At 41.8% G+C, this 14,361-nt stretch overlaps 1 protein-coding gene and 1 pseudogene across 5 annotated transcripts in view, besides 1 other annotated feature; one reads left to right on the forward strand and one right to left on the reverse strand.

Moving 5' to 3' along the window:
• Positions 1-14,361, forward strand: part of PCDH11Y (protocadherin 11 Y-linked) — a 741,933-nt gene that overhangs the window by 324,466 nt on the left and 403,106 nt on the right. The window lies entirely within an intron of this gene.
• Positions 62-638: an enhancer, noted in NCBI's record as "NANOG hESC enhancer chrY:5192864-5193440 (GRCh37/hg19 assembly coordinates)". NCBI's record gives its function as "activates a minimal SCP1, AML or CMV promoter by ChIP-STARR-seq in naive H9 embryonic stem cells {active_cell/tissue: H9 hESC(naive)}" and the evidence as "EXISTENCE:reporter gene assay evidence [ECO:0000049][PMID:30033119]".
• On the reverse strand, positions 12,842-14,219 carry EIF4A1P2 (eukaryotic translation initiation factor 4A1 pseudogene 2; annotated as a pseudogene).

Raw genomic sequence — 14,361 nt, forward strand, 5'->3', positions numbered from 1 at the left:
CTATTTCTTCCATATATCCTTCCTTTCATGCACGTCCCTGTGAAGAGACCACCAAACAGGCTTTGTGTGAGCAACGAGGCTGTTTATTTCACCTGGGTGCAGGTGGGCTGAGTCCGAAAAGAGAGTCAGTGAAGGGAGATAGGGGTGGGGCCGTTTTATAGCATTTGGGTAGGTAAAGGAAAATTACAGTCAAAGGGGGTTGTTCCCTGGCGGGCAGGAGTGGGGGTTGCGAGGTGCTCAGTGGGGGTGTTTTTGAGCCAGGATGAGCCAGGAAAAGGACTTTCACAAGGTAACGTCACCAGTTAAGGCAAGGATCAGCCATTTACACTTCTTTTGTGGTGGAATGTCATCAGTTAAGGTGGGGCAGGGCATATTCACTTCTTTTGTGATTCTTCAGTTACTTCAGGCCATCTGGTCGTATCCCTGCAAGTCACAGGGGATGTGATGGCTTCGCTTGGGCTCAGAGGCCTGACATTCCTGCCTTCTTAATAAGAAAAATAAAACAAAATAGTGTTGAAGTGTTGGGGCGGTGAAAATTTTTGGGGGGTGGTATGGAGAGAGAGTGGACGATGTTTCTCAGGGCTGCTTCGAGCAGCATTAGGGGCTGTGTGGGAGCCTAGAGTGGGAAAGATTAAGCTGAAGGGAGGTCTTGTGGTAAGGGGTGATATTGTGGGGATGTTAGAAGAAACATTTGTCGTATAGAATGATTGGTGATGGCCTGGATACGGTTTTGTATGAACTGAAAAACTAAATGGAATAAGAAGGAGAAAAACAGATATAAAAGGTCTAAGAATTGGGAGGACCTAGGACATCTGATTAGAGAGTGCCTAAGGAGATTCAGCATAGTCCTGCCAGCAAAGATTATTTATTTACTTCAAGAGTTAAGAGTAGCGGTTTGGGGATAGCACGAGGAGATATCACCTGTGATGGCTTGGAGAAACAGTGTAAACTGGCAGTGTAAACAAGAGCAGGGCATGTATGAGTAGTTGAGAATGGAGAATAGGAGTATGACTAGACAGAAAATAGTAGGGATGACAAGTTTTTTTGGGGGCACAGTCTAAGTTGGTCTGGTGTCTGGAATGAGACTGGGGCCTAATAAAAAGGAGCATCTATACAGGAGCTTAAATGGGCTGTACCTTGTAGCATTCCGAGGACAGGCCTGAATTCTGAGAAGGGAAAGTGATAAAAGTATTGTCCAGTCCTTTTTGGTGGCTGAGCTTGGTGAGGTGTGTTTTTAAAAGACCTTTAGTCCATTCTACCTTTCTTGAAGAAGGAGGACCGTAAGGGATATAAAGGTTTCACTGAATACTAAGAGCCTGAAAAACTGCTTGGTGATTTGACTAATAAAGGCTCATCTGTTATCAGACGGTATAGAGGTGGGAAGGCTAAACTGAGGAATTACGTCTGACAGAAGGGAAGAAATGACTGCGGAGGCCTTCTCAGACCCTGTAGGAAAGGCCTTTACTTTATTCAGTGAAAGTGTCTATTTAGACTAAGAGGTATTTTAGTTTCCTGACTCGGGCATGTTGAGTAAAGCTAATTTGCCAGTCCTGGGTGGGGGCAAATCCTCGAGCTTGATGTGTAGGGAAGGGAGGGGGCCTGAATAATCCCTGAGGAGTAGTAGAATAGCAGATGGAACACTGGGAAGTTATTTCCTTAAGGATAGATTTCCATGATGGAAAGGAAATGAGAGGTTCTGAGAGGTGGGCTAGTGGCTTGTACTATAGCATAGCCTGACTTTGCTGGTATGTGGCGATTAGGCCTGGTGGAACTGCCATCAATAAATCAAGCGTGATCAGGGTGAGGAACAGGAAAGAAGGAAATATGGGGAAATGGGGTGAATATCAGGTGGACCAGAGAGATACAGTCGTGGGGGTCAGGTGTGGTATCAGGAATAATGTGGGAAGCCAGATTGAAGTCCTGGCCAGGAACAATGGTAATTGTGGGACTTAAGAAAGTGTGAGTACAGCTGAAGGAGCCGGGGAGCAGAAAGTATATGCGTCAGGTATGAGGAAGAAAATAGATTTTGGAAGTTATGAGAAATGTAGAGAGTGAGTTGAGCATAGTTTGTGATTTTTAGGGCCTCTAAAAGTATTAAAGCAGCGGCAGCCTCTGTACGCAGACATGAGGGCTAGGCTAAAACAGTAAGGTCAAGTTGTTTGGACAGAAAGGCTACAGGGTGCAGTCCTGGCTCTTGTGTAAGAATTCTGACTGCACTAACCATGCCTAGGAAGGAAAGGAGTTGTTGTTTTGTAAGGGATTGAGGTTTGGGAGATTAATCGGACACGATCAGCAGGGAAAGCACGTGTGTTTTTAGGAGAATTATGCCGAAATAGGTAACAGATAAGGATGAAATTTGGGCTTGACTGAAGTAATGGGGGCTGTCTGTGAAGCCTTGTGGCAGTACAGCCCAGGTAATTTGCTGGGCCTAATCGGTGTCAGGGTCAATCCAAGTGAAAGCGAAAACAGGTTGGGATGAAGGGTGCAAAGGAACAGTAAAGAAAGCATGTTTGAGATCTAGAACAGAATAATGGGTAGTAGAGGGAGGTATTGAGGATAGGAGAGTATATGGGTTTGGCACCACGGGGTGGATAGGCAAAACAATTTGGTTGATAAGGTGCAGATTCTGAACTAACTTGTAAGGCTTGTCTGGTTTTAGGACAGGTAAAATGGGGGAATGGTAAGGAGAGTTTATAGGCTTTAAAAGCCCATGCTGTAGCAGGCTAGTGTTAACAGGCTTTAATCCTTTCAAAGCGTGCTGTGGGATGGGATATTGCCGTTGAGCGGGGTAAGGGTGACTAGGTTTTAATGAGATGGTAATGGGCATGTGATCGGTTGCCAGGGAAGGAGTAGAGATGTCCCATACTTGTGGGTTAAGGTGGGGGGATATGAGAGGAAGACTCGAAGGAGGCTTTGGGTTGGGGAGAAGGGTGGCAATGAGATGTGGCTGTAGTCCAGGAATAGTCAGGGAAGCACATAATTTGGTTAAAATATCTCGGCCTAATAAGGGAACTGGGCAGGTGGAGATAACTAAAAAAGAGTGCATAAAAGAGTGCTGTCTAAGTTGGCACCAGAGTGGGGGGAGTTTTAAGAGGTTTAGAAGCCTGGCTGTCAATACCCACAACAGTTATGGAGGCAAGGGAAACAGACCCTTGAAAAGAAGGTAATGTGGAGTGGGTAGCCTCCATATTGATTAAGAAGGGGACGGGCTTACCCTCCACTGTGAGTTACCTAAAGCTCGGCGTCTGTGATGGTCTACGGGGCTTCTGAGGCGATGGGGCAGCATCAGTCTTCAGCCGGTAAGCCGAGAAGGAGTCAGTCAGAGAGCCTTGGGCCAGAGTTCCAGGAGCTCTGGGAGTGGCTGCCAGGTGAGTTGAACAGTCCGATTTTCAGTGGGGTCCCACACAGATGGGACGTGGCTTAGGAGGAATCCTGGGCTGCGGGTGTTCCTTGGCCCAGTGGCCAGATTTCTGGCATGTGTAACAAGTTCCTGGGGGAGGAGGTTCTGGAGGAACGCCTGGCTGCTACAGTTCAGGTGTTTGGAAGTTCTTGTGTGCTGGAGATGTGGCTGGGGTTTGTCTCACAGTGGTGGCAATGAATTGCAACTTTTTTCTGTTATTGCACACCTTGAAGGTGAGGTTAATTAAGTCCTGTTGTGGGGTTTGAGGGCCAGATTCCAGTTTTTGGAGTTTTATTTAATGTCGGGAGCAGATTGGGTAATAAAATGTATATTGAGAATAAGATGGCCTTTTGACCTTTTAGGGTCTAGGGCTGTAAAGTGTCTCAGGGTTGCTGCCGAACGAGCCATGAACTGGGCTGGATTTTTATATTTGATGAAAAAGAGCTTAAACGCTATCTGATTTGGGATAAAGAAAAAGGAGCATTAACCTAGTGCCTTTAGCTCCAGCCACCTTTTTAAGAATAAATTGCTGGCAGGTGGGGGAGGGCTAGTCACGGAATGAAACTGTAAGCCGGAGCAGGTGTGAGGAGGGGAGGCGATAAAAAGATTATAGGGTGGAGGAGTGGAGGCTGCGGAAGAATTGGGACCTAGCTCGGCCTGTCAAGGAGGGGAGAGGTCAGATGGGTCTGTAGAAAAGGAAGATTAGAAAGACTCAGCGACGCTTGGGGTTGGGACTGAGGGGACAGGCGGGAGGGAAAGAAGGAAGATTTGGGAGGAGTTGCACTGGGCACAGAGACTAGGAGGGGACTGATGTGTAAAAGAATGCCTGGACGTCAGGCACCTCAGACCATTTGCCCATTTTACAACAAGAATTATTTGGATCTTGCAGGATGGAAAAATTGAAAGTGCCGTTTTCTGGCTATTTGGAACTACTGTTGAGTTTGTATTGGGGTCAAGCGGCATTTCAGAAGAAAATAAGACGCTTAGATTTTAGGTCAGGTGAGAATTGAAGAGGTTTTAAGTTCTTAAGAATAGAGGCTAAGGGAGAAGAAAGAGGAATGGAAGCTGGAAGCATAGTGAAGGAGGCAAGCCCAGAGAAAAGAGTGGAGACACGGAGAAGGAGTGGGGTTTTCTTTCCCTCCAGAAAAGCAGAGAAAGGGTTGGGGCACAGAAATAAGGGATTGGGGTGCAGAGATAAGAGATTGGGGCGTGGAAATAAGGGATTGAGGCACAGAGATAAGAGGTTGGGGCGTGGAAATAAGCGATTGGGGGGTTCTTGCCCCCTAGGAAAGCGGGACTTGCCACTAAGGGTGAAGGAGAAGGGGTTGAGGGGTACTTGCCCCTGCCCCAGGAAAGAGGGACTTGCCGCCAAGGGTGAAGGACCAAGTCAGGCATCCCTGCGTGGTCTGACACCCTTGAAACGTGAGTGTATAATCAGAGAGGTGTCCCTGCAATGATTAAACACCAAGAGAAGGCTGCCTTCCCAGTCCGTGACCGGCGCCGGAGTTTTGGGTTCATGGATAAAACATGTCTCTTTTGTCTCTACCAGAAAATGAAAGGAATTGAAATTAAGAGAAGGGAGAGATTGAAGTGTGGTTCCAAGATTGAAAGGAGAAAGAGGTTAAGGGATAGTGAGGGAGGTTGGAGAAGAGAGTAAAAAGAGGCCGCTTACCGGATTTGAAATTGGTGAGATGTTTCTTGTGCTGGTCGGTCTGAGGACCTGAGGTCATAGGTGGATCTCACGGAGCAAAAAGCGGGAGGACAGGGGATTGATCTCCCAAGGGAGGTCCCCCGATCCGAGTCACGGCACCAAATTTCATGCGCGTCCGTGTGAAGAGACCACCAAACAGGCTTTGTGTGAGCAACATGGCTGTTTATTTCACCTGGGTGCAGGCGGGCTGAGTCCGAAAAGAGAGTCAGCGAAGGGAGATAGGGGTGGGGCCGTTTTATAAGATTTGGGTAGGTAAAGGAAAATTACAGTCAAAGGGGGTTTGTTCTCTGGCGGGTAGGAGTGGGGGTCGCAAGGTGCTCAGTGGGGGAGCTTCTGATCCAGGATGAGCCAGGAAAAGGACTTTCACAAGGTAACGTCATCAGTTAAGGCAAGGACCGGCCATTTACACTTCTTTTGTGGTGGAATGTCATCAGTTAAGGTGGGGCAGGGCATTTTCACTTCTTTTGTGATTCTTTAGTTACTTCAGGCCATCCGGGCATATACGTGCAGGTCACAGGGGATGCGATGGCTTGGCTTGGGCTCAGAGGCCTGACACTTCCCTCTACAGTTAATCATTCTTATTAGTTTCTCAAATATGTTTCCAGAGTTTCCATATGTAGATATAAACAAATATTTGTAGGTTATCTCATAGCTGTTATAAACAGTCCCTTATACATGGATATTGGGACTTATTTTCAGCTTTAAAATGATAAAATGGTAAATAGTGCTGTAATGAAAAATCTTTCACACATATCATTTATCCATATTTCTAGAAATGGGATTGTTGAATCAGATTAACGTTAGAATCAATTTATCTAGCTCTAAAAATGTTGCTGTTCTTGTTGGAATCACACTAATTTTGATGTTAACTTAGAGAGAATCATCAGCTTTATGATGCTGAATCCTTCTACCCAAGATTACATCATGTCTTTTCTTTTATTCCATCCTAGATTTTTGTCCTAAATTATGTTAAATATTTTTCTTATGACTATTGAACAATTCTGGCTATGTTTACTCAGACGTTTTGTTCTTTTTCATGTTGTTTGTGTATGTTCTTGCCATCTTAGCAAAGTAATTATTGCAAATTTTTAAAATATGCGAATATGGAGCAAAATTGGAAGTAACACAGTATATATTTTTATCAATTTTGTGCAACTCCAGACACTTTGTGTTAATCATTAATAAATATTTATTTTACTAAGTTTTTGATATCTACTATTTGATTTGGCATTCCTCAAATACCTGTTGATTAAAATATTATAAAAACTTCCTACTGGGAAAAATTTTTAAAAGCCATATTATCATTTATTGGTTTATCTTTTTTAAATAATTCAAATACTGAATTAACTCTATAGTTAACAAGATATCACTTACATTTTCTAAGATACTCTCTTGGATTTAGCTGTGTGGCACTATTAACCAAAAATAAATTCTAAGGCCATCCAATCATCTAAATGGACCCCTCCTCTTGGCCAAGGGCATTCCACAGTTAACCTGAAAAACCAGTTCAGGACATGACAGAAGAGGGGAAGGCACATGCCTCACTATACATCCCACCAGCATTAGCATCAACACAGATCTTAAATCTGATAAGAAACATTTACAATCTATTCTCTCAGAAGCCTATTACTTGGAGGCCTCCTCTGCATGATAAAATCGAGGTCTCCACCACCCCTTAACTTAATCCAAACATTGCTTTCTATTGATAACTCTCTTTCAGCCAATTGCCAATCAGAACATTTTTAAATCCATCTATGATCTGGAAGCCACCCTTCAATCCCCCTCCTCAATCCCTTCATCACTTTGAGTTAGTCTGCCCTTCCAGATGGAACGAATGTAAATCTTACATGTGTTGATTGACGTGTGATATCTCCTCAAATTATGTAAAAACAAGCTGTACCCTGACCACCCTGGGCATATTTTCAGGGCCTCTTGAGGCTGTGTCATGGGCATGTCCTTAACCTTGGCAAAATAAACGTTCTAAACTGATTGAGACCTGTCTCAGATACTTTTGAGTTCACAAATTTGAGAGCTGTCTTAGGTACTTTTGGGTTCAAAACACCCTTTGATGTTAATGGAATCCATTGTCTAAATCACCAAGAGGCTGGGCGCGGTGGCTCACGCCTGTAATCCCAGTACTTTGGGAGGCCGAGGCGGGCGGATCACCTGAGGTCGGGAGTTCTAGACCAGCCTGACCAACATGGAGAAACCCTGTCTCTACTAAAAACACAAAATTAGCAGGGCGTGGTTGGCACATGCCTGTAATCCCTGCTACTCGGGAGGCTGAGGCAGGAGAATCGCTTGAACTCAAAGCCCCCACTTTGAGTTGTCCCACCTTTCTGAACCAAAACAATGTATTTCTTAAATGTATTTGATTGATGTGTCATACTTCCCTAAAATATATAAAACCAAGCTGTACCCCAACCACCTTGGGCACACGTTCTCAGGACTTCCTGAGGGCTGTGTCATGGGCCATGGTCACTCATATTTGACTCAGAATAAATCTCTTAAAATACTTTACAGAATTTGACTCTTTTCAACAACAATATGCCAATATGTATAGGAAATCACTAGTCAAATTAATTTATCAGTGCTATTTGATAGTTTGTGAAATATCTTTGTATATAAACAATATGAACTGATAAAGAAAAAATATAGTTCTGATATAAAGAAGCAGAGTTCTTTGACAAGCTGAGTGAAGAGAATTTAATCATGAAGGATCCTTGGATATTATTTAGTTTTTAGACATCATGTAGTCCAAGATCTGTTCTGAAAACATACCTGGTTCAAAATGCAGATTTCCTCAAAATGTCTACATCAGTATCAAATGAAATATATAACAATGTTCATTGGTTTCTTCTTCTTTATGTCATTAAGTTGCTTCAATAGCAATAGACTGGCAAGTGCATTCTGCCACCTTGGACTTGTGATTCACTCAGGAGAATTTAACACTGTGATTAAAAAAAGTAAAAGGGATTTAGTATTTCTAAGGCTGACTGCCTTGGCAAGACACTGTAGTTCAAATCAGCATGCATCCATTTTGAATATTAAGTAGGAAAGTGAAATAAATTTTTGGTAGAGGCTTAGAAAAATATAAAACACTGTCATTCTGAGGTTAGTTTTCAGCTCCATTGATTTTTGTCTTTTATACCTCAATATGATTAAAAAAAAAGCTTTCCCTAAATCTGTCTATATAATGTTTCACCATTATGGTACACATATAATATAATGCAGACTACTCTGTTTTCCACTCTGACCTTTACTACATAGCTGGTTTTTGATAGAAGAATGTGGGAGGAAATACTTTTTAAATAGAATTCCAATAATGCATCTGTAAACATAACCTCTCATCCTTTGAAATACGAAGTGTTAACCTTGCTGTAGGATATATTATTCCTTTTCGTTTTGATAAGCCGTAAGAGGTAGGGACATAGAATTAAAATGCATAGATAACTATGGTCAGGATTACCTAATATTAACCTAAATTATGTCCTGTTAAGCATTGAATAATGTTAAGTAAAATGTTCTATTATCATTATAAGTTTTGTAATACTGTAACCGCCCAACGGGTTCACCTTGCCCGCTGCCTAGACAGAGACGATTTAGTAAGACAGGGGGACTGCAATGGAGAAAGAGTAATTCACTCAGAGCCGGCTGTGTGGGAGACTGGAGTTTTATTATTACTCAAATCAGCCTCCCTGAGCATTTGGAGGAATGCTTGGGGATTGGAGTTTTTAAAGATAACTTGGGCCAGGCACGGTGGCTCATGCCTGTAATCCCAGCACTTTGGGAGGCCGAGGCGGGTGGATCACCTGAGACCAGCCTGGCTAACGTGGTGAAACCCTGTCACTACTAAAAATGCAAAAATTAGCTGGGCGTGGTGGCAGGCGCCTCTAGTCCCAGCTACTCGGGAGGCTGAGGTAGGAGAATTACTTGTTGAGTCCAGGAGACGGAGGTTGCTGTGAGCCTAGATCATGCCACTGCACTCCAGCCTGGGCAACAGAGGCAGATTCCATCTCAAAAAAAAAACATTAAAGATAACTTGGCAGTAGGGGCTTGGGAAGTGGGAAGTACTGATTGTTCGGACTGAAGATGGAATCATAGGGGGGTCGAAGTGAGGTTTTCTTGTTGTCTTCTGTTCCTGGGTGGGATCACAGAACTGGTTGAGCCAGGTCTGGGTGGTATCAGCTAATCCATCAAGTGCAGGGTTTGCAAAATCTCTCAAGCACTGATCTTAGGTTTTAAAATAGTGATGTTATCTCCAGGATCAATTTGGTGAGGTTCAGACTCTTGCAGCCAGAAGCTGCATGACCCCTAAACGTAATTCCTACTCTTGTAGCTAGTTTGTTAGTCCTACAAAGGCAGACTGGGCCCAAAGCAAGAAGGGAGTCTTTTTGGGAAAGGGCTATAGTTTCGTTTCAGAGTCAAACCATAAACTAAATTCCTTCCCAAGGTTAGTTTGGCCTATGCCTAGGAATGAACAAGGACAGCTTAAAGGTTAGAAGCAAGATGGAGTTGATTAGGTCTAATCTCTTTCACTATCATAATATCCTCAGTTATAATTTTTGCAAAGACAGTTTCAAGACTAGGAAGTTATTTTTTGAAGATATAGTTATTGAATAAAACAGTGTGTAATTTAGCTATTGACCGATGGAGCTGCAATTTTTCTCAGCAGTTAATCTTTTCTTTAAGTTACTTCATAATTGAAATAGCTACTTTTATAGATTGATTAGTCCCTAAATATAAATCAATCGTATATTTAAAAGGGTTTTTATTTTAAACTTATCCTTGAAAGATTGTGAATAAAACAAATTAGAAGGTCTATGAAAGTTCCAGCCTATTGAAAAAGAGATTTGTATTGTATAGACTAAGTAATTCAATTGGAATACATAAATCTTAGGCTCTTACAAAGAAAGAGAAAAATAAAATCTTAGACTAAGATTTCACAGTACCAATGCCAATATAGACAAGATACCTAAACAAATCAAAGAAAAAGTTTTGAATTTCAGTAGACACTGTCAACCGAGGAAAATGACAAGCCTCAATCATTTTAGGAGATTTATTTGCCAAAATTAAGGATGCACCCGGGAGACAGGTCTACGCCTTTCTCCAAAGATGATTTTGAGGGCTCCAAATTTAAAGGGGAAAGGGTGGGATATTGAGAAGCACACAGTTTTTACATAAACAAGGGGGGGCAGAGGAAAAATGTGAAGAATCTGCATTTTACCTAACACAGACAAAATGGGTAAGGGGAACAATCAGCTATGCATTTTTGTCTGGCAGGCTGGGTGACTGCACCTGTAAAGATAAGCTATCAATTTGCATGGCCATGGAGAAGTTTTTAACAGCTCACCAGGAATTTCCTTGTGGGCAAAATATGGGGGAGGCGTGTAGCCTTTCATCTGGTAGCCATCTCATCGAGGAACCAAAAGGGGGAGGCAGGTTTGTGTGACTCAGTTCCCAGCTTGACTTTTCCCTTTGGGTAAATGAGTTTGGGGTCCAAAAATTTAATTTCTTTTCACAGCACACCATATTCTTGATAGTTCCAAATATCCCTTTCTGGCTCTCCTTTGTTTTCTTAGAGGAACCAGGACATGCTGATAACCTTTCTTAAGTTATGTTAATATGTAAATGCAGTCAACATCTGGGGTATTCTAGGCCTTTGGTAGCTCCACGAACAGCAAATACTTTCACCTGGACAGACCTTCTAAATACTTGGCAAAGGAAAGATTATTATGAGCCTTATTTAGTTTAGTCTGCAGCAGTGATATTTTATTACCAGCATTCTCTGTAGGTTTGGAGAATATGAAAGTAAGCTCTGTATTAGCCTTAAACTTTCTGAGCTGGATTTGAATCACCTAACGCTAAAAAAAAAAAAAAAAAAAAAAAATCAGAGTCAACTACTTTCTAAGCATATGTTTTCGCAATACAGATGAGGTTTTATCAGTAGTTTTTTACAAGTCTGTCTAGAAATTTCATATTCTACTCAATGCTTCTAGTTATTAATGAGAAATGAATTTTTTCATGAAAATGTAGTTGCCCTTCTATTAGAAACTGTTCATATGAGCTGTATCTACTCATCTTAAATAAAAATGTAATGCTACTCGATTAAAATAAATTTCCTCAAATTAATATTTCATTTTTTAAAATTTTAAGGTAGAATGTAAAAAGGAAAATGTATAGGAAATTGAAAAAAAACAGCATTTATTTATCCAGTTTCCTTTAGTCACAGCATCACTAAGTTGAAAGAGCTGTAGAAGATATAGTCCAATGTCATCATTTTACAAAAGTGAAAATTGAAATTCTGAAATATAAAATAGTTTCCCAAGTCACATAGTTAATGACAGAACTGAGGCTATTTCACAACCCAACTCTAATGCTCATTTTTCTTTTATTTATTTATTTATTTATTTATTTGAGACGGAGTCTCACTCTGTCGCCCAGGCTGGAGTGCAGTGGCCGATCTCGGCTCACTGCAACCTCTGCCTCCCGGGTTCAAGCGATTCTCCTGTCTCAGCCTCCCGAGTAGCTGGGACTACAGGCGCCTGCCACCTCGCCCGGCTAATTTTTTTGTATTTTTAGTAGAGACGGGGTTTCACCGTGTTAGCCAGGATGGTCTGGATTCCCTGACCTCCCAAAGTGCTAGGATTACAAGCGTGAGCCACTGTGCCCAGCCTCTAATGCTCATTTTTCTAAACTGCACTGATGATCACACAACCAGGCATACCAAAAAAAAAAAAAAAAAAAAAAGAAGGTATCAGCTATAAGCTATAACCTTTGCTCTTATGGAGCTTATAATTTCATAAGAAAGAGTATACAAGATGAACAGCTTTGTATGATCAGGACAGGCAAGATACGACATGCGCTATTTGTGCAGAAGACAGCTACATCATAGCAGGCAGGCTCATAGATTTGAGAGAGGCTTGGCAAACAGATAGTATCTGGGATAGGGTGAGGTTCTGGTAAAAAAAAAAAAAATGTATAGTCATCATAGTGTCCTACTGTTTTAAATTTTTGAAACAAATTCTTTCCCAAAGAATTCCTGAAATGTTTGGTATTTTGATATTTTTCTCTTAATGGAAAATGCAAATGAGTTAAACTATTAATGATTTTCATCCTATAATTGCTACCTACTGTCATTTGTGTGGACAATTTCAATAGGCATGTTCACTTTTTAGATAGAGATTTATTATAATGTTTTCTTGTGACAATTTGATATCATTGTGTTGTTTACTTATATTCATTTTAAAATTATTCACTTATCTTTTATTCCACCAAGATAATCCATTTATAGATTTAATTCATCATGAGGCTCCTAATAATGAGTTTATGATTAAGAAAATTTTGCTATTAGTTTGTTCAGCCATTTTTCAATTTTTTTTTAAATCATGGCACCTGAGTCCTAATTATAATTAATTGCTAAAGTTGATCATTTGAAGCTTCTTTGAAGAATTACTCAAGTTGTTTCAGTGTAAATTAACTCTAAAAAAGGCAGTGATTTATATTTTCTATTTTGGGTGCAAGAGATTAACACCAGTGCTAGATTATATTTAAAACACTTAGTTTATTGATTAACTTCCCTGAAGAACATATGACCTTATTTTTTCTTAAAACTATTTGCAGATCTGAAATATTTGAGGAAGGTCAGTGAGTGTATAGGGGTTAGATTCAGGGGAAGGAACAGTACTTCTACTTTAACCATAATACCTACCTTTTTATCTATTTTTTTTTTTTTTGGCCTCAAAAAGTGACATTTATTCAAAGAAAAAAAATGACAAGTCTATCCCTTGGCTCCCTTCACTCCCCTCTCCTGCTGCTCCTCAGCACCCCCGAGATTGAGCCCTGGCTGGGGCTGGGCGGCAGGACAGCCCCTCAGATGAGGTCAGCAACATTGGGGGCATTTCCTCAATGGAGGTGTTGTAGAAGATCTCAATGTCTTGAAGAGTCCTCTTGTCTTCTTCTGTCACCATGTTAATAGCCACACCTTTACGGCCAAACCGTCCACCTCGACTGATTCTGTGGATATAGTTTTCCCTGTTGGTGGGAAGGTCATAGTTGATGACTAAAGAAACCTGCTGCACATCAATGCCTCTGGCCAGCAGGTCAGTTGTAATCAAAACTCTGCTAGAGCCAGAATGAAACTCCCTCATGATCACGTCTTGCTCCTTTTGGTCCATATCTCCATGCATGGCGGAGACAGTGAAATCTCGAGCATGCATCTTCTCAGTGAGCCAGTCCACCTTCCTCCGGGTGTTGATGAAGATGACTTCCTGGGTGATGGTCAGGGTTTCATACAAGTCACATAGTGTGTCCAGCTTCCACTCCTCTTGTTCCACGTTGATGTAGAATTGGCGGATGCCCTCCAGGGTCAACTCTTCCTTCTTGACAAGAATCCGAATGGGGTCCCTCATGAACTTCTTGATCACCTCAAGCATATCAGAAGGCATTGTAGCTGACAGCAAAACTACCTGGGTGTTGCTGTTGAGCTTTTGGAATATGTCATAGATCTGGTCCTTGAATCCACGGCTTAACATTTCATCAGCTTTATCCAGTACAAACATCTTGATGTATTTGGGAGACAGGTATCTCTGGTTAAGCATATCAAACACACGGCTAGGGGTACCCACGATGATGTGGGGAGCTTCCATCTGCAGTTTCTGCACCTCAGCACGCATATTGGTGCCCCTGACACAGGCATGACAGGAGGCACCCATGTAGTCTACTAGTGCCATGACCACCTTCTGTATCTGCTGAGCCAATTCTCGAGTGGGTGCTAGGACCAAGGCCTGGGTGGCTTTTAGATCTAATTCAATCTGCTGCAGAATCGATATGGCAAATGTGGCCATTTTCCCAGTCCCAGATCGGGCTTGAGCGATTACATTATAACCCCTGATACAAGGTAGAATGGCTTGCTGCTGGATGGCAGAGGGCTTCTCAAAACCATAGGCATAGATGTCACGGAGAAGGGACTCCGAGAGGTTCATGTCATCAAAGCTGTCAACAATCTCATTCCAGTTACTCTCAATGACGCATTCGGGCTCCATCCCATCGGGGCCATTGTCTCTGGATCAGGAATCCTGGCTCACAGACATGATCCTGAGAAACTAGCCTTTTTATCTATTTTCTATATTGTGGCTTTGATTCTGTTGAATTTCCATTAAAAAGGTGGAGAGGTGTATTACAAATTGTAAACTTTTCTAACTTTTAAAAATCACTTTCCTAAAGGCAAAGATCAAAGTCTTTCAAGGTT

The sequence above is a fragment of the Homo sapiens genome, chromosome Y, assembly GCF_000001405.40.
Source record: "Homo sapiens chromosome Y, GRCh38.p14 Primary Assembly".
In the NCBI taxonomy this organism is placed as follows: Eukaryota; Metazoa; Chordata; class Mammalia; order Primates; family Hominidae; genus Homo; species Homo sapiens.